Source organism: Homo sapiens, chromosome 1, assembly GCF_000001405.40.
Source record: "Homo sapiens chromosome 1, GRCh38.p14 Primary Assembly".
Classification (NCBI taxonomy): Eukaryota; Metazoa; Chordata; class Mammalia; order Primates; family Hominidae; genus Homo; species Homo sapiens.
In genome coordinates, this window is record NC_000001.11 from 207,553,651 (window position 1) to 207,574,657 (window position 21,007).

General features: G+C 40.3%; 1 protein-coding gene across 1 annotated transcript in view; it reads left to right on the plus strand.

Moving 5' to 3' along the window:
• Window positions 1-21,007, plus strand: part of CR1 (complement C3b/C4b receptor 1 (Knops blood group)) — a 145,609-nt gene that overhangs the window by 57,494 nt on the left and 67,108 nt on the right. Inside the window, exons 20-27 of the mRNA NM_000651.6 lie at window positions 4,888-4,973; window positions 7,089-7,487; window positions 10,214-10,390; window positions 10,482-10,584; window positions 12,188-12,273; window positions 14,174-14,392; window positions 15,409-15,588; window positions 16,197-16,296. Coding sequence (NP_000642.3) covers window positions 4,888-4,973; window positions 7,089-7,487; window positions 10,214-10,390; window positions 10,482-10,584; window positions 12,188-12,273; window positions 14,174-14,392; window positions 15,409-15,588; window positions 16,197-16,296 — 1,350 coding nt within the window. The remainder of the gene's footprint in view (window positions 1-4,887; window positions 4,974-7,088; window positions 7,488-10,213; window positions 10,391-10,481; window positions 10,585-12,187; window positions 12,274-14,173; window positions 14,393-15,408; window positions 15,589-16,196; window positions 16,297-21,007) is intronic.

The window sequence follows — 21,007 nt, forward strand, 5'->3', positions numbered from 1 at the left end:
TAGCCTTTAAGTGTTGACATGAAGGGAAGAGTCATGCATCTCTTACTTTAAATCAAAAGCTAGAGATGATTAAGCTTACTGAGGAAGATACGTTGAAAACCAAGATAGGCCAAAAGCCATTCCTCATGTGCCAAACAGCTAGAAAGTTGTAAAGGCAAAGTAAAAATACTTGAAGGAAATTTAAAATGCTCTTCCAGTGAACACATGTATGATAAGAAGGTAAAACAGCCTTATTGCTGATATGGAAGAAGTTTTAGTGGTCTAGATATAAGATCAAACTAGAAACATTTCCTGAAGCCAAAGCGTAATCCTGAGCAAGGCCGTAACTCTCTTCAATTCTGTGAAGGCTGACAGAAGCTGGAAGCTAGCAGAATTTGGTTCCTGAGGTTTAAGGAAAGAAGCCCTCTCCATAACATAAAGGTCCAAGGTGAAGCAGCCAGTGCTCATATAGAAGTTGCAGCAAGTTATCTAGAAAATCTAGCTAAGATCACTGACGAAGGTGTTACACTAAATAACAGATTTTCCATGTAGACAAAACAGCCATCTATTGGACTTTCATAGCTAGAGAGGAGAAGCCAATACCTGGGTTCAAAGCTTCAAAGAACAGGCTGACTTTTTAGGAGCTAATGCCGCTGGTGACTTTGAGTTGAAGCCAATGTTCACCGACCATTCTAAAAATCCTAGGGCCCTTAAGCATTAAGTTAAATATACCTTGCCTGTGTCTATAAATGGAAGAACAAAGCCTGATGACAGAGGTATGTTTGCGGCATAGTTTACTGAATATTTTAAGCCCACTGTTGAGATCTAGTGCTCAGAAAAACAGATTCCTTTCAAAATATTACTGCTCATTGACATTGCACCTAAGCAGCCAAGAGCTCTAATGGAGATGGACATGGAGATGAATGGAGTTTTCCTGCCTGCTAACAACGGCAGCCATTCTGCAGCCCATGGCTGAAGGAGTAATTTTGACTTTCAAGTTTCACTATTTAAGAAATACATTTTGTAAGGTGAGTCCCCACAGACAGTAATTCCTCTGATGGATCTGAACAAAATAAGTTGAAAACTGCTGGAAAGAATTCATCATTCTACATACCATTAAGAACATTCGTGATTCATGGGAAGAGCTTAAAATATCAACATTAATAGGAGTTTGGTAGAAGTTAATTCCAACCCTCATGGCTGACTTTGAGAGGTTCAAGACTTCAGCGGAGGAAATAACTGAAGATGTGGTGAAAATCGCAAGAGAACTACAATTAGAAGTGGAGCCTGAAGACGTGACTGAATTGCGACAAATTCATGATCAAACTTGAACAGATGAGGAGTTGCTTCTCATGAATCAGCAGAGAAAGTGGTTTTTTTGAGGTGGAGTGTCTTCCTGGTGATGATGACATGAGCATTGTGAAAATGACCACAAAGGATACAGAATATTACAAAAACTTAGGTGATAAAGCAGCAGCAGTATCGGGAGGATTAACTCCAATTTTGAAAGCAGTTCAGAGGGTAAAATGTTATCAAACAGCATTGCATGCTAGAAAAATCTTTTGTGAAAGGAAGAGTCCATCAATACAGCAATTTTATTGCTGTCTCAGCTTAAGAAATTGCCACAGCCACCCCAGCCTTCAGCAACCACCACCCTGATCAGTCAGCAGCCATCAACCTTGAGGCAAGACCCTCCACCAACAAAAAGATTACAAATTATTGAAGGTCAGATAATCTTTAGTATTTTCTTATCAATAAACCTTTTTTTAAAGTATGACTTTGTTTAGACATAATGCTATTTCACACTTAATAGACTACCGTATAGTATAAACACAACTTTTAGACTCACTGAGAAATCAAAAAATTCATCTGACTCATTTGTTGTGATATGTGTTTTATTGTGGTGGTCTGGAACTGAACCTGCAATATATTTGAGGAATGTCTGTAACACGAAGTGGGCGGCTTAATACAACAGAAGTTTTTGGAGTTCCATTCTAGAGACTGGAAATCCAAAATCAAGGTTTTGGGAGGGCCACGCTCCCTCTGAATCCTGTAGGGAAGGATCCTTCATTGCATCTTCCAGCTTCTGGAGCCACAGGCCTTCCTTGGCATGTGGCAGCAGAACTCCAATTTCTGTCTCTGTCCTCATATGGCCATCTTCCCTCTGGGTCTGTGTCCTCATATGCTGTTCTCTCTGTGCATGTCTGTTTCCAAAGTTTTCCCTTTTAATAAGGACACCAGTCACACTGGATTAGGGCCTACCTTCATGACCTCACCTTAACTTGATTGCGTCTGCAAAGATCGTATTTCCAAATAAGGTCACATCCACAGGGACTGGAGGTTAAGACTTCAGCATACTCAGGGGAGACACAATTCAACCTATAACAGAGCCCCTTTGAAAATGTCAGGCATCAGGTGCTCACAGCACACGGTCCAGCTGTTGGTGCTCACCCTTGCTCAGCACACGGTGGAGGCTCTGCCTCAATCTCATTCTTCATGGGAACAGCTAAGCCAGGTAGCGAATACGAGTTACGTTTGTGTCACCACAGCAGACACTGAAAGGAAGTTTGTGGTGTCCAGCACATTTGCCAGCATAGGCCTCACAGACCACAACACCTAGAATCTGACAAAAATTAGAATAAATCCGATGTCTCCTTTTCTCTCTTTTTTTAAGCATTTTTAAATACAATTGGTAAATTTCCTGACTGTACCCTACTCATCTTGCATTGCTGAATAAGTGAGGAACCTCTCTATGGCATGAAGCAGAAAACCATTGAGCTTATGAGAAGAAACAGGAAATACATGTAAAAGAGACCAGTCTGAAAAATCAGGAGAAATTTTACAAAAGAGATTTACTGCCAAGAAACCAGGGAAACTTTCAGAACACTCTCCTTTTCATATTTGTAACAAGATTCAATTGTACAAATACTTCTGTGAAACTAGCCATGAAGTGTGTACATGAATGAATATATGTATTCAGTGTGTTTATATATTTCATTTCATACATGTGATCTATATCATATATATATATATATATATATATATATATATCACAATGAATATTGCAGAAAATTAAAGCAAAGAGTAAGAAGAGTTAACCAAATGTTCCCTGAATGCAGTGGGAAAAGATGAAAAGGAGAAGACAGGCAAGCACAGTGGCTCACACATGTAATCCCAACATATTGAGAGGCCGGGGCAAGAGGATCACTTGAGCCCAGGAGCTCAAGACCAGCCTGGACAACATGGCAAAAACCCATCTCTACAAAAAAGTATAAAAATTAGCTGGGCATGGCAGCATGTGACTGTAGTCACAGCTAGGCAGGAGAATGAAGTGGGAGGATCACCTGAGCCCAGGAGGCTGAGGCTTCAGTGAGCCTTGATGGCAACCCTGCACTCCAGCCTGGATGACAGAATGAGACCCTGTCTCAAAAAAGGAAAAAGAGAAGACATATGTAACACAGTGTCAGGATTCAAAATACATGTAGCAAAAATTCCAGAAGGGTAAGCAAATAAGCCCATACCTAGCCATCACTAGGGAAACTTCTGTGTTTCAGGGATAGAGAAAAAAACTCTGATTCCAGAAATAAAATGTGAAAATATAATACCCGCAAAAGAAATAAATTTATTGACACCACATTGATTCTATATTGTATAAGATATATTGTATAACACTAAATTGTAGAAGATAGCACTTCTCTTGAGCCAAGCTAATATGCACACCTAGAGGCTCCAGGTACACATTAAAGGATAAGCAAAGACACAAAAATTGTACCATTTAAGTATGTTTCCCAGGCAATTCATAAGCAAATTTTTAAAAAGGAGAATGATGAATTCCAAAGGAAATCTCAATGAGATAGGATGTAGGTAAAAAGAAAAAACAACAATAAAAAAAACATACACACAAAATCTTGGCAATGTAATAATAATTTATTAATAATCTCTCTAAACTCATAGAATATATCAATAAAACTAGAAAATGTGAGACAGCAAGAAAAGATAGGCTAGACTTACATTACAGAAAAGATGAGTAGACTGACTATATAGAGTTTGACTCTAAAATTGAGAAAAGAGGTTTAAATATGTGTCACGTGTATATGTATAATATACATGCACACATATAAAATGAAATTCCTCACTGGAAAAAATATTAAGTTTAATTTCCAAATTATTAGAATGACTAAAACAGTTGAATCTATCTGTTCCATATAGTAATTGAGGGGGAAGGAAAAGGAATAGCAAGGAATCCATTTTTCTCTTCCACCAGAAATAAGCTCCCTCATGTTTGGGTCAGGTCACTTTATTCATTGCTTTCTCCACATCCTCATCATTAGGCATCATGAAATCAATGAAAAGGCAGTGAAAGAATGATGATGAAAGCTAATCAAATGTATCATTTACCTCAATACGTTTGGTTTAATCTTCTTGTTGAAAGACAAATTCTCCTAGACAGGATCAAAAGCAACATATCTTGTATTTATAAAAAACATGTCTCAAGTAAAATGACATAGTATTATACACACACACACACATACACACACACACACACATTAAGGGAAAATGCAGACAAAAAATGGCAGAAATAATATTTAGAGAAAGATAGAATTTAAGAAAAAAAATTGTCAAACAGGTCTGCAAAATAATTGTTTTATTTTGGTGCCAGTTACAGTCCGCAATGAAGCGAAGATATTAAGAAGCAAAGTGGGCCAGGAGAAATTAGAGCAGAAATATCTCTTTCAATAGTGAGAGAATAGGAAAAAGAAGTAGAAAAGCTGGGAACAATAGGTAAAGTTTAGGCTAGGCCTTAGACTTCTCCTGCATTGTAATCCCTCTGGTTTGCCACATATGCATGCTGTCAGGAAGTTGATGAGGTATGTACAGCACAATTTATTTTCCATTTTTTGCCTTTAGGCACCGACTCATTGGTCACTCATCTGCTGAATGTATCCTCTCGGGCAATGCTGCCCATTGGAGCACGAAGCCGCCAATTTGTCAACGTGAGTTGAAATCTCTTTCCCCATTCACCCCACCGTTTAATCCTAGAGTTGTCCTCCTAGAATTACAAAGAATGGATCTCATCCCTCTTGGAAATGGTATCCTTCTCATATTTGAAGAATCCAGTCATATCCTTAAAATGGCTCACAGCATTCCAAACTTCCACCTTCAGCTAGAAATGCTTTTTTATTTTTTCTTATCTCAAGGTCTAATTTTTTTTAAACTAGTCTTTAGCTCACTTAAACAGTCCCCCAATTTCATCCTCTGTTGGGTGAACACCTCCCAGTTTAAAGAGCATTTTATTTAGTGAAGTCAACAAATACAAAGTCAGTGAAAGAAACCCCATATCCTCTCTGCAAGCTCTTAGTATCACATCAGATATTCAAGCCATGCAGCTCTTTCTTCCTTCTTATTCTTTGTCTAAACAGGATCATGCCATCTTCCCTGTGAGTTGTTTGGAAGATGAGCTTTCTACATTTTGGGGAGCAAAGACGAATGAGCAATTGCAAGCTAACAAGGAATATAAAATGTGTATAATCCTGGGTTTAGTGATGGTGTGAGGAAATCAGCAATTTCAAACCCAGTTGGTGGGAGGATAAGTGGGAACAAACTTTGTAGAAGGCCAATAAACTGGCTGGGCACTGCCCTACGGTAGAGTAGGACACAGTATTCAGTTCTTCCAAGATCAGACGAGATTGGGCGCATTTAGGGTGGTATGGTTGTAGATCAGTATCCAGTTCTTTTTATTATTTCTGAATCTGTAAGTATCATGTTTATTATATGTAATATTGTATATTTGTACTTTGTCTTTGTTAGTTCTTCCAGAGCTTTTGTTCTTATTATTTAATAAAGATGTTATACTGAGCCACATGTGGTGACTCAAACGTGTAATCCCAGCACTTTGGGAGGCCTAGGTGAGCAGATGGCTTGAGTCCAGGAGTTTGAGACCAGCCTGTACAACATACTGAAACGCTGTCTCTACAAAAATACAAAAACTATACGGGCATGGTGGCACATGCCTGTAGTCCCAACTACTCAGGAGACTGAGAGGTGGGAGGATTGCTTGAGCCAGAGAGGTCGAGGCTGCAATGAGCCATGATCGTGCCACTGCACTCCAGTCTGGGCAGCAGAGCAAGACCTTGTCTCAAAAAAAATGCTATGCTGTATGCTTTATTATATTAATATCCAATAGAATAAAGACACATGCCTTCTATATAGAGAGAACTAAATTAATAATGGTGAGATAACAGTTAAATTCTCATTTAGCAGGAGAAATAAAAACATAGACTATAGGCTAGGCACAGTGGCTCATACCTGTAATCCCAGCACATTAGGAGGCTGAGGTGGGCAGATCACTTGAGGTCAGTAGTTTGAGACCACCCTGGCCAACATAATGAAACCCCGCCTCTACTAAAAATACAAAAGTTAGCCGAGTTTGGTGGCGCATGCCTGAAATCCCAGCTACTCAGGAGGCTGAGGCAGGAAAATCGCTTGAACCTGGGAGGCAAGGGCTGCAGTGAGCCAAGATCACGCCACTGCACTCCAGCCTGGGGAACAGAGTGAGGATCTGTTAAAAAAAAAAAAAAAAAGTGGACTCTAATAATACATGGACACATTTAGTGAAATAAACTTAACTGAGTAGAGCAGAACTTATAATATTTTAAAACTGTAAGAACATGTCTGTACATTAGCAAATAGTAGATGAGAATAGTATTTTCAATATTTACTTCTGGTAATTTGGAATTAAAAAAAAAACTTTTGGGAAAATTTACAATAAAGTATGATTTTAACAAACCAGGCTAGGCGTGGTGGCTCACGCTTATAATCCCAGCACTTTGAAAAGCAGAGGCATGCAGATTGCTTGAGGCCAGGAGTTCAAGACTAGCCTGCCCAACATGGCCAAACCCCATCTCTACTAAAAATACAAAAATAAACCAGACATGGTAGTGCATGCCTGTGATCCCAGCTACTCGGGAAGTTGAGGTAGGAGGATTGCTTGACCTGGGAAGTGGAGGTTGCAGTGAGCCATGATCGTGCCACTACACTCCAGCCTGGGTGACAGAGCAAGACTCTGTCCCAAGGTTTTGTTTTGGTTAACTTGCTGTCCCTTTTTCCAGGAATTCCTTGTGGGCTACCCCCCACCATCGCCAATGGAGATTTCATTAGCACCAACAGAGAGAATTTTCACTATGGATCAGTGGTGACCTACCGCTGCAATCCTGGAAGCGGAGGGAGAAAGGTGTTTGAGCTTGTGGGTGAGCCCTCCATATACTGCACCAGCAATGACGATCAAGTGGGCATCTGGAGCGGCCCGGCCCCTCAGTGCATTATACCTAACAAATGCACGCCTCCAAATGTGGAAAATGGAATATTGGTATCTGACAACAGAAGCTTATTTTCCTTAAATGAAGTTGTGGAGTTTAGGTGTCAGCCTGGCTTTGTCATGAAAGGACCCCGCCGTGTGAAGTGCCAGGCCCTGAACAAATGGGAGCCGGAGCTACCAAGCTGCTCCAGGGGTGAGTCTGACTGAGGCCTAGTAGGGCCCTGCAAGTGACATGCGTTGCTGTTGGATCAGGAGATTAGTATTTGTTCACGGGGAGGGATGTGTGCTGAGCAGGGTCGAGGAGCAAATTTTCTAAGTAGTGAACATGAAATTCAGGTGTGTAGACATGTACATGTGCTGAAATTGAGAAGCAAAGCTCAACCTGGGCAAGGGATATGATGTTTCTTTGGGGTTCTTATAAACAGATCTATCAATTACCTTTGAGTATAATAATGTTTGATACAAAATGAGTGATTCCTCTGCCCAGGCACTATAATACAGGCTACATGTGAATTTTAATCCTGAAAACAAAGTTATTAGGTAGTTCCCAGTTGTTCTATGTTTGTCTGTTTTGTTTTGCTTGAGATACTGTCTTGATCTGTCACTCAGGTTGGACTGCAGTGGTGCCATCATGGCATACTTCACCCTCCACCTCCCTGACTCAAGCAAGTCTCCTGCCTGAGCCTCCCAAGTAGCTGGGAATGTAGGTGCATGCCACCATGCCTGGCTAAGTTTTTTATATTTTTTTTGTAGGGACAGAGTCTCACCATGCTGCCCAGGCTGGTCTCAAACTCCTCAGCTCAAGCACCCACCCACCTTGGGCTCCCAAAGTGCTGGGATTATAGGCATGAGCCACTGTGCCCGGCCTCTATGTTTTACAGAGAATATGTGCCTTAGACACATCAGATAACATTCTGAGACAGTAACTTGCAGACAAAACTGGATTGCAAGTCCACCTCACTCCAGAGCCTTGGCTTTGCTCATCAGCATTCAGTCATGAAATCAAAACTTACTCTAGATACTTTCAAGGAGGGAGGGATTTCATGCAGGTTGTATTAGTCTGTTCTCACATTCCTATAAAAAACTACTTGAGCCTGGGTAATTTATAAAGAAAAGATGTTTAATTGACTCAGAGTTCTGTAGGCTGTACAGGAGGCATGGCTGGGAAAGTTACAATCATGGTGGAAGGCAAAGAGGAAGCACGCATATCTTCATATGCTTGGCAGGAGAGAGAGAGAGAGCAAGGCAGAGGTGTTACAGACTTTGAAACAAGCAGATCTTGACAGAACTCTATCACAAGACAGCACTAGGGTGATGGTGCTCAACCATTAGAAACCACCTCCATGATCCAGTCACCTCCCACCAGGCTCCTTCTCCAACACTGGGAATTACCATTTGACATGAGATTTGGGAGGGGACATAGAGCCAAACCATATCGCAGCTAATAGGTCACAAAAATGTTAGAAGGGCAGGAAAAGCAATAGGACAAAGGCAAAGTTACGAGAGATCAGGGAGCTGCTGTGGCTCCCAGTCTACAGCACAGGAGCCTGGAGTGATGGTGAAATGGCCAGCCCCTCCCACTGAGCAGGCAGCTCCCTGTAAGCTGCTAATACTGCAGGAGCCACCATTGCTGCCAGAATGCAGCTGATATTGCTGGAGCCAAAGTCATTGGCATCGTTACAATTGAAGCTGTAGCTACTCACTGAAGCCATCTATACTGCCACTGCCTGAGCCACTTCTAGAAGTAGAACAGATTCTGCCATCATCCTGCTTTTTAATTTGGTATATATGCCTCCAATTGGCAGAACCTAACCAGAGCCTAGCTATCAAGGAAGATGAACGATTTATTTTTAAGGCCTCCATTGTTAGCTGTCAAAAGACAGTGCAGAAGTGTGAGGCTGGGGGCCAACAGAAATTTAACCAGCACAGCACCTCAATATTACATCACCAGGCATTGATTAGTCCAGGGAAACACTGGGTGATGAGCCCTGAAAATGGACATTACAGCATCAGAGTATTTACAAACTCCTTAAAGAAGTCATTTTTCTATTCCAATCCCCCATTTGATGCTTGAGAAAGCTGAAGTCCAGAAAAGGGAACTGATCTGCTCAAAGACAAACTGAAATTACTTTTTCCATTTTATAACAGTTTTATGTAATTTATTTGAGATCCAAATGTGTTTTGATTTCCCAAGATCAGATCAACTACATTAAGAGAGAGCCTGAGATGCCGTTACAATATGTTGTGTGAAATTACACTCTCATTATGGTGACAGTAGGTCTTTCAGATTTTGTTCGACAGTTTCCCACCTTCTCACTGAAGTGAAATGAATGACTAGGCAGCACCTGCTACATAGCATGAAGAGAGGAGACCCATAGTTCTTTACCACCCTATGTCAGGTGGCCGCTGAGAGAAGACTTGAAAGGAGATGAGCATAGATGTATGGACGCTCTTTGTTGCACCAGTGTGATAGGTGATGGAGGGACCTATTAGATGGGACATGGGCAGGGGCACTCCTTTATTGCTTAAAATGCAAGACTAAATTGGTGATGCCTTTCTAGAAAGGAAGTATGAAGATACAAAAATCCATCATTCCTCCCAATTTTGTACTGGGTGAACAGTAATTGGAAGCATTCTAGAAGGAACTGTCCATTGTGAAATCTTAGTTGCATACTTTAGATGAAAAACAATGAATTGGAGATACCTCTGTTTTAGTCACAGTTGTGCCATGTGTCAGTTCTATGACTGATGGCAAGACATCTTCCTTGCCCCGTGTATTTAGTTTATCAATGTAATAAGGCTGTTATTCTAACTTTATTATTATATATAGATTCGTAATTATTATTCCCTTGGCCAGTTTAACAGTGAGAAAAAAGTTGTTTTCACACAATTAGCTGTACTTTGTTTCTCTCTCCCCAGTATGTCAGCCACCTCCAGATGTCCTGCATGCTGAGCGTACCCAAAGGGACAAGGACAACTTTTCACCCGGGCAGGAAGTGTTCTACAGCTGTGAGCCCGGCTATGACCTCAGAGGGGCTGCGTCTATGCGCTGCACACCCCAGGGAGACTGGAGCCCTGCAGCCCCCACATGTGAAGGTGACTAGACTCTTATCTGGCTTGATATTTTTAGCTTGCGTCTTTATTCTCCACATGCCAGTGATTTCTGTTCGTTTTTCTTTATCTCCAGTGAAATCCTGTGATGACTTCATGGGCCAACTTCTTAATGGCCGTGTGCTATTTCCAGTAAATCTCCAGCTTGGAGCAAAAGTGGATTTTGTTTGTGATGAAGGGTGAGTATGAGCTTGCCTGACCTGCTGGACATTGAAATTGGGGTTGGGAATCAGTCTAAAAAGGGGAGATTTGGTGTGGCTTAAAAGAAAGACACACACACACACACACACCTTCAGAGAGATGAACTTTCGAAAGTATACCTAGGAAGAAAGGAAAGAAACATATAGAACTAATAACATGAGATATGAAGAGGAAACTGGAACATATATTAACTGGCAAGTTCAAAGGCAAGTATAACTAGTGGTTATGAATATATAGGTAACACATTAAGCAAAAAATATCAGCCAGGCACGGTGGCTCACGTGTGTAATCCCAGCACCTTTGGGAGGTTGAGGCAGGCAGATCACCTGAGGTCAGGAGTTGGAGACCAGCCTGGACAACATGGTGAAACCCTGTCTCTACTAAAAATACAAAAGTTAGCTGGGTTTGGTGGCATGTGCCTGTAATCCCAGCTACTCCGGAGGCTGAGGCACCAGAATCACTTGAACCTGGGAGGTGGAGTTTGCAGTGAGCCGAGATGGCACCATTGCACTCCAGCGTGAACAATGAGTGAAACTCCATCTCAGGAAAAAAATCATATTTTACAAGCAAAAGGGAATATGAGTAATTTAGAGAGTCCCAGGAAAAATTGCAAGTAATGAAAAGCTTATTATTAAAAGCTAGGATCCTTTAAGAATCATTTCAGTAAATTCTTTAAACCATCAACAGTGAAATTTGTAATAGGACTGAAAATGTAAAAATCAGCATTTTTTTAAAAATTCAGTCATATATCTTCTGGCTAGTCATGGGCTCTGGGCTCTGAGCTGGGGTCGTGATGGCTGCTGTTAATATTCCCAGCAAGGTCATTACCTTGTTTATGTCCATCTAGTGCTCTTCACAGCGTGCACATCTCTACACAGGAGCTGACCGGCATGGGCAACAAAGCACCTGATCCCATAATGTAACACAGAATCTTGGCAGCCTCCAAATGCCAGCACCCAGTAAGAGTTAGGAGGGCATCAGGGTCCAAAAGACTGAGAATTTTCGACAATTGCATACAAAAATCATGTCCTCTCTTCTTTCCTTTTTCCCCTAGAATATTCATGCTTACTCTTCAGCAGCCCAAACTGCCCTTTTGAGCCTTCTTCACGCCATCACAGATGTGGAGATGAAAGGACAATCTCTGTTCTCTCGCCAGCTATTTCCCACTTTTCCACTCCAAACTGGGAGCTGTTTTACTTGCTGTTCCAGGGTCAGAGTTAGGAAGGCATTACATTAGAAGACTGGGTTTCTAATAACAACAATGAGTGATTTATCAGGTTATCATGGAGTAATCAGTGAAACTCCAAGCCTGGGTCCTGGGTCAAGGGGATGGCGCCTATGTCATGACCACCTTTTTCAATTCAAGCAGGACTATCATGTGACCAAGCTACTACATTTTGCCATTCTATATTGTTCCCTTCTGGAGGCTGTGATTTTTCCAGAATAAGGTAGCCTGTGCAACTCTGCCATCTGCTGGCCTCAGATCCTCAAAATCCTGAAATTGGGGCTGGGCCTTAGATTGTGAACTAAGTGTCCTCTTGGCTGAAACAGCTCACTATTCACTCCTATTTTCTTCTTTAGATTTCAATTAAAAGGCAGCTCTGCTAGTTATTGTGTCTTGGCTGGAATGGAAAGCCTTTGGAATAGCAGTGTTCCAGTGTGTGAACGTGAGTAATAGGAGCAACATTTCAGGCCAATCTCTCCCCTTCATCTGTTCACTATTTGTCCTATGGCCTCCCTCAATGTGATTCTTCAATATTCTAGTCTTAATTATCGATTTAAAAATAGTTTATTTTAATAATGTTTGGTTGTGAATCAATATGTACATCACCTGTCTTTGCAACCATCTGATCTGTCTCTGTCCTTCTGCATTCTCTGTTCTAGTGCGATAAATCCTTTGGTCTTGTGCTCCTAGGTCAGGAGAGATTAGATAATGTGAAGCTTTAACAATTTTCTTTCTTTCTCTAGTTTTTTCTTTCTTTTTTCTCTTCCTTCCATCCTTCAGTTCTTTCTTCCCTTCTTCTCTCCTTCTCCCCTTTCTTCTTTCCTTCCTCCCTTCTTTCTTTTTCATTTTGTTCTCCCATCAAAGTGCAGTCAGTCTACAATTTATATATATATGATAATACACAAATATTGAACATGGCTTTATTTAATCAATATTTATTGATCACATACTTTGTGCCTGATGTTCATCTAGCCACTGGAGTTATATCAATGAACAAGATGGATGAATTCCCTGTCCCCATGTTGTTTCTACTTAGGTGGGGAGAGGGACAAGAAAAAAAATAAATTCAATGCTATGAGACAATAGAGCAAAGCACTGAGGAATGAGGCAAAAATGGGGAGCAACATTAGACAGGGTGAGCAGTTTGAGACTCCTTAAATTCTCAAAACATGTACCTAAATAATTTATGCTGAGAGATTCATAAATAATAAGTCATTTTTTTAAAATGAGCCTCATATGTTCAATAATCAGTAGACTACTGATTTCTCCTAGTCTACCCATGTATAATTTCCCCAATGGAAGATAGAACTTTGCTTCAATTCTTGATTCTAATGATTGGAAAACGTGTTTCTTTAGAAAATCATGAAATTTTACTAAAATGTTTATGTTGTTAGAAATATACTTGGACATCTTACAGTGATTTTTAGAGTAAAATTTTGGAAGAACATAACTTATATAGAGATTCTTGCTGTCTAAGAAATCCAGTGCTCCTTGAAGCAGTATGACAAGTGTCTGTTCTACTATCATGAATGAAAGCTCATTAACTGGACTACTCAAGCTTTCTCTTATTTTTCATAACTCTTGCTAGTTAAAATAGTTTCTTCCAAATGCCAGTTCTAATGAAAAATGCCAATTAGAAATGAGGAAGAGACTGTTCTAAACAAATCATTAGATGCTAGAAAGGAGTAACAACTTGAAACCTGACCCAGAGAGTAAAAAGAGAAAATAAATCATCAACAGACCTAGACATTTTCAAAAGCAAAGCCATCTGAATCCATTTGGAGTTTTTTTTTTTTTTTTATCATGGCCTGACTATGTTTCAATTCACTGTGACAGGGCTATTGTTATCACTGAGATTGATGATCAATATCAATAAGTAATCAGTGAAAGGTTTCACCTATTTAAGATGATTAGCACACATATATACATTTGAGAAATATTTCCTAAGAATGTAGGCTCCTTCCTCAGCGCTGTGTCCCCAGGATCCTGATGAAGGGCTGACACAGGATAAGTGCTCAATTAATATATATTGACTAAATGAATAAATAACCCTTCAAAATGGTTATTTTTCTTCTTCAAATGTTTTGCTACTTCATTAAAGTTGTAAAGTTTCTACTGTCCAGGAACTGTTACTATCCGGAAGATTCAGGATAGACAAATCTCTTTTGTACTTTGCAATACATTTTCATTGACATCTCATTTAATCCAACTCTTCAAAGTCCTAATGTCTACTGTCATCTCCTTAGCATATTTTCAGCAACACCAATCATAGCACCCTGTAATTGCAGAATACCTCTGGTGAAACTCCTGAATGAAACTTAGAGCTTTTGTATGTTTTCTAGAAATCTTTTGTCCAAGTCCTCCAGTTATTCCTAATGGGAGACACACAGGAAAACCTCTGGAAGTCTTTCCCTTTGGAAAAGCAGTAAATTACACATGCGACCCCCACCCAGACAGAGGGACGAGCTTCGACCTCATTGGAGAGAGCACCATCCGCTGCACAAGTGACCCTCAAGGGAATGGGGTTTGGAGCAGCCCTGCCCCTCGCTGTGGAATTCTGGGTTAGTGCTCATTTCCCCACATCCCTAATGGGTTCAGAATATCTAACCCAGCCCCTCCATATTTCCATAATTACAGTGTAGTATTTATTTGTATGTATGCATTTGCCACAATGGAATGCCAAACCAATGATAGATGGTTCTAAGGTAGGTCAACACATAAGATCCTGATGACCTTTGCAGATGGAGGGACTGATGAAAAAAGAGGGAGGCGGTGAGTGGTGGGAAAGTCCTTCATTAGAATCATATGAATTAAAAACAGATGCCTGTGAATCTCCTTATTGAAATGTTTGGTTTAGAAATCTGACCTAGAAAATCGGTGGCTCCTTCTGCCAGGAAACGTCTTGAGTTCCCGCCCATGCTTGACAGCCTCTCATTGGAGTTTTGATGACTTGAAGTACAAGGAAACCAGACAGGAAAGGTGGAACCTGGGCAGAAAAACTCTTTCTGGCTTCCTAAAAATGTGAAAAATTAAATGGGAGCTATCTTTACATTAAATTATATGAGCATTAGCTGAGCGTGGTGGCAATTGCCTGTGGTCCCAGCTACTCGAGAGGCTGAGATGGGAGTATCCCTTAAGCCTGGGAGGCAGAGGTTGCAGTGAGCCAAGATTGTGCCACTGCACTCCAGCCTGGGTGACAGAGCGAGACCCTATCTCAAAAACAATAAAAATAGGCATTAGGAGGCCAAGGCTGGTGGATCACTAGAGGTCAGGAGTTCCAGACCAGCCCGCAAACACAGTGAAACTCCAACTCTACTAAAAATAGAAAAAAAATTTAAAAACAAAAATAAATTATATGAGTAGAAAGACCAGATAGCAGGCTAGTCTTCCAAATAATATACTTCCTTATAAGCCTATGCTAATGGAACTTTCCTTTCTATTTTACAGGGAAGTTTTTTTTTTTTCATAACTAAAATTTTCTTTTCTTCTGGCATCAAATCTACCAAGGAAGAGAAAAGAGGAAACACACTGGGTATCTTTTTATTAACTCAAATATTCTTGATTTCTTGGTCTCTAGGTCACTGTCAAGCCCCAGATCATTTTCTGTTTGCCAAGTTGAAAACCCAAACCAATGCATCTGACTTTCCCATTGGGACATCTTTAAAGTACGAATGCCGTCCTGAGTACTACGGGAGGCCATTCTCTATCACATGTCTAGATAACCTGGTCTGGTCAAGTCCCAAAGATGTCTGTAAACGTGCGTAAACTTGCGTTGGATCTTTCCCATGTCTGCAAAAGCTTCTTATGGAATTATTTCAAATGTGGGATATGAGAAACCTTTTCTGAAAAGTGTTCGGATAGATGGATGTAAGAGTTTTTCTTGTAGGCATCCTTGATTGTTGCTTGAAATGTTAACTTCATGAGAATGTTTCAAGAAATAGTTGTAGAGAAAATCTTCATTCCCTATGGGAAAGAAAATAATAAATGACTAGATCAGGAAAAAAATGGTGTAGGAAGACAAATTCTGTTTGAATAACTAGGTGGGAAGAAATCCTTTGCAAACTTTGAAATATATTGATAGTAAATAATGCCATAAATGACCTTTACATTTTGATAAGGGATGCAAGGTCTCTACACAGATCTAAATCTAGATCTAGATAGATCTGGAGGGAAGGTCTTTTTGAAAGTGGGGCTTAGTAGGTGGCTGATCCTCAGCGCTCTGATGAGTTTTCTCAAGGTGCCAAAATCTGTGGAACCATCAGAGCCGCGTGTTTTCTTCAGGAAGCTACATGCAGGTTGAGACCTTACGTACTGAAGAGAGTTCAGATTACTCTACCTGGCTCCAAAACATTTTCTTTCCCACAGGTAAATCATGTAAAACTCCTCCAGATCCAGTGAATGGCATGGTGCATGTGATCACAGACATCCAGGTTGGATCCAGAATCAACTATTCTTGTACTACAGGGTGAGTTGGCAGCAACATCTCTTGGTTTAAGAGTTCCAGCACAGCGATAGTACTTTCTAGCCACATCTCAGCAAGGAAACTAGGCTATTGCCACCTGCTCTTAAGAGGCTTGAACACAGGTGTTAACTCCTGATTGAAATGAACAAAGATAGGAGAAGATTAGGGGGAAAATCTGTATCCTTGCTGGAAACCAGGGCAGTGCACATATAAAGAGTATGCTGTTCACTGGATGGGAAAGAAAAAAACTTAGAAGTGTAGTAGTCAAAGCACACAAACAACCCTAACCCAGAGTAGACATTGCTGGAAGAAAGGGAAGACCATGTAGCAGCTGTGTGAGAGAATGAATCTTAATGATAACAGCATGATCCCTTGCTAGGGCTGCCATCAAAAAGTACAGGCCTTCCTCGTTTTATTGTACTTCGCAGATGTTATGCTTTTTACAAATTGAACGCTTGTGGGAACGCTGTGTAAGCATGTTCGTCGGCATCATTTATCCAACAGCGTGTGTTGACTTCGTGTCTCTGTGTAGCATTTTGATTATTCTCACAGTATCCCAGATGTTTTCATTATTATCATGTCTGTGATAGTGATCTGTCATCAGTGATCTTTGATGTTACTATTGTCATTGTTTGGGGTCCCTACGAACTGCACCCATATAAGACAGAAAACTTAATCAATAAATGTGCGTGCTTTGACTGCTCCATGGACTAGACATTCCCCTTCTGTCTCCCTCTCTTCAGGACTCCCTAATCCCTGAGACACAATAATACTAAAATGACTCCAATTAATAACCCTACAATAGCCTTTAAGTGTTGACATGAAGGGAAGAGTCATGCATCTCTTACTTTAAATCAAAAGCTAGAGATGATTAAGCTTACTGAGGAAGATACGTTGAAAACCAAGATAGGCCAAAAGCCATTCCTCATGTGCCAAACAGCTAGAAAGTTGTAAAGGCAAAGTAAAAATACTTGAAGGAAATTTAAAATGCTCTTCCAGTGAACACATGTATGATAAGAAGGTAAAACAGCCTTATTGCTGATATGGAAGAAGTTTTAGTGGTCTAGACATAAGATCAAACTAGAAACATTTCCTGAAGCCAAAGCGTAATCCTGAGCAAGGCCGTAACTCTCTTCAATTCTGTGAAGGCTGACAGAAGCTGGAAGCTAGCAGAATTTGGTTCCTGAGGTTTAAGGAAAGAAGCCCTCTCCATAACATAAAGGTCCAAGGTGAAGCAGCCAGTGCTCATATAGAAGTTGCAGCAAGTTATCTAGAAAATCTAGCTAAGATCACTGACGAAGGTGTTACACTAAATAACAGATTTTCCATGTAGACAAAACAGCCATCTATTGGACTTTCATAGCTAGAGAGGAGAAGCCAATACCTGGGTTCAAAGCTTCAAAGAACAGGCTGACTTTTTAGGAGCTAATGCCGCTGGTGACTTTGAGTTGAAGCCAATGTTCACCGACCATTCTAAAAATCCTAGGGCCCTTAAGCATTAAGTTAAATATACCTTGCCTGTGTCTATAAATGGAAGAACAAAGCCTGATGACAGAGGTATGTTTGCGGCATAGTTTACTGAATATTTTAAGCCCACTGTTGAGATCTAGTGCTCAGAAAAACAGATTCCTTTCAAAATATTACTGCTCATTGACATTGCACCTAAGCAGCCAAGAGCTCTAATGGAGAAGGACATGGAGATGAATGGAGTTTTCCTGCCTGCTAACAACAGCAGCCATTCTGCAGCCCATGGCTGAAGGAGTAATTTTGACTTTCAAGTTTCACTATTTAAGAAATACATTTTGTAAGGTGAGTCCCCACAGACAGTAATTCCTCTGATGGATCTGAACAAAATAAGTTGAAAACTGCTGGAAAGAATTCATCATTCTACATACCATTAAGAACATTCGTGATTCATGGGAAGAGCTTAAAATATCAACATTAATAGGAGTTTGGTAGAAGTTAATTCCAACCCTCATGGCTGACTTTGAGAGGTTCAAGACTTCAGCGGAGGAAATAACTGAAGATGTGGTGAAAATCGCAAGAGAACTACAATTAGAAGTGGAGCCTGAAGACGTGACTGAATTGCGACAAATTCATGATCAAACTTGAACAGATGAGGAGTTGCTTCTCATGAATCAGCAGAGAAAGTGGTTTTTTTGAGGTGGAGTGTCTTCCTGGTGATGATGACATGAGCATTGTGAAAATGACCACAAAGGATACAGAATATTACAAAAACTTAGGTGATAAAGCAGCAGCAGTATCGGGAGGATTAACTCCAATTTTGAAAGCAGTTCAGAGGGTAAAATGTTATCAAACAGCATTGCATGCTAGAAAAATCTTTTGTGAAAGGAAGAGTCCATCAATACAGCAATTTTATTGCTGTCTCAGCTTAAGAAATTGCCACAGCCACCCCGGCCTTCAGCAACCACCACCCTGATCAGTCAGCAGCCATCAACCTTGAGGCAAGACCCTCCACCAACAAAAAGATTACAAATTATTGAAGGTCAGATAATCTTTAGTATTTTTTATCAATAAACCTTTTTTTAAAGTATGACTTTGTTTAGACATAATGCTATTTCACACTTAATAGACTACCATATAGTATAAACACAACTTTTAGACTCACTGAGAAATCAAAAAATTCATCTGACTCATTTGTTGTGATATGTGTTTTATTGTGGTGGTCTGGAACTGAACCTGCAATATATTTGAGGAATGTCTGTAACACGAAGTGGGCGGCTTAATACAACAGAAGTTTTTGGAGTTCCATTCTAGAGACTGGAAATCCAAAATCAAGGTTTTGGGAGGGCCACGCTCCCTCTGAATCCTGTAGGGAAGGATCCTTCATTGCATCTTCCAGCTTCTGGAGCCACAGGCCTTCCTTGGCATGTGGCAGCAGAACTCCAATTTCTGTCTCTGTCCTCATATGGCCATCTTCCCTCTGGGTCTGTGTCCTCATATGCTGTTCTCTCTGTGCATGTCTGTTTCCAAAGTTTTCCCTTTTAATAAGGACACCAGTCACACTGGATTAGGGCCTACTTTCATGACCTCACCTTAACTTGATTGCGTCTGCAAAGATTGTATTTCCAAATAAGATCACATCCACAGGGACTGGAGGTTAAGACTTCAGCATACTTGGGGGGAGACACAATTCAACCTATAACAGAGCCCCTTTGAAAATGTCAGGCATCAGGTGCTCACAGCACACGGTCCAGCTGTTGGTGCTCACCCTTGCTCAGCACACGGTGGAGGCTCTGCCTCAATCTCATTCTTCATGGGAACAGCTAAGCCAGGTAGCGAATACGGGTTATGTTTGTGTCACCACAACAGACACTGAAAGGAAGTTTGTGGTGTCCAGCACACTTGCCAGCATAGGCCTCACAGACCACAGCACCTAGAATCTGACAAAAATTAGAATAAATCCGATGTCTCCTTTTCTCTCTTTTTTTTAAGCATTTTTAAATGCAATTGGTAAATTTCCTGACTGTACCCTACTCATCTTGCATTGCTGAATAAGTGAGGAACCTCTCTATGGCATGAAGCAGAAAACCATTGAGCTTATGAGAAGAAACAGGAAATACATGTAAAAGAGACCAGTCTGAAAAATCAGGAGAAATTTTACAAAAGAGATTTACTGCCAAGAAACCAGGGAAACTTTCAGAACACTCTCCTTTTCATATTTGTAACAAGATTCAATTGTACAAATACTTCTGTGAAACTAGCCATGAAGTGTGTACATGAATGAATATATGTATTCAGTGTGTTTATATATTTCATTTCATACATGTGATCTATATCATATATATATATCACAATGAATATTGCAGAAAATTAAAGCAAAGAGTAAGAAGAGTTAACCAAATGTTCCCTGAATGCAGTGAGAAAAGATGAAAAGGAGAAGACAGGCAAGCACAGTGGCTCACATATGTAATCCCAACACACTGAGAGGCTGAGGCAAGAGTATCACTTGAGCCCAGGAGCTCAAGACCAGCCTAGACAACATGACAAAAACCCATCTCTACAAAAAAGTATAAAAATTAGCTGGGCATGGCAGCATATGCCTGTAGTCACAGCTAGGCAGGAGACTAAAGTGGGAGGATCACCTGAGCCCAGGAGGCTGAGGCTTCAGTGAGCCTTGATGGCAACCTGCACTCCAGCCTGGATGACAGAATGAGACCCTGTCTCAAAAAAGGAAAAAGAGAAGACATATGTAACACAGTGTCAGGATTCAAAATACATGTAGCAAAAATTCCAGAAGGGTAAGCAAATAAGCCCATACCTAGCCATCACTAGGGAAACTTCTGTGTTTCAGGGATAGAGAAAAAAACTCTGATTCCAGAAATAAAATGTGAAAATATAATACCCGCAAAAGAAATAAGTTTATTGACACCACATTGATTCTATACAACACTAAATTGTAGAAGATAGCATTTCTCTTGAGCCAAGCTAATATTCACACCTAGAGGCTCCAGATACACATTAAAGGATAAGAAAGACACAAAAATTGTACCATTTAAGTATGTTTCCCAGGTAATTCATAAGCAAATTTTTAAAAAGGAGAATGATGAATTCCAAAGGAAATCTCAATGAGATAGGATATTGGTAAAAAGAAAAAACAACAATAAAAAAATACACACAAAAACTCGGCAATGTAATCATAATTTACTAATAATCTCTCTAAACTCATAGAACATATCAATAAAACTAGAAA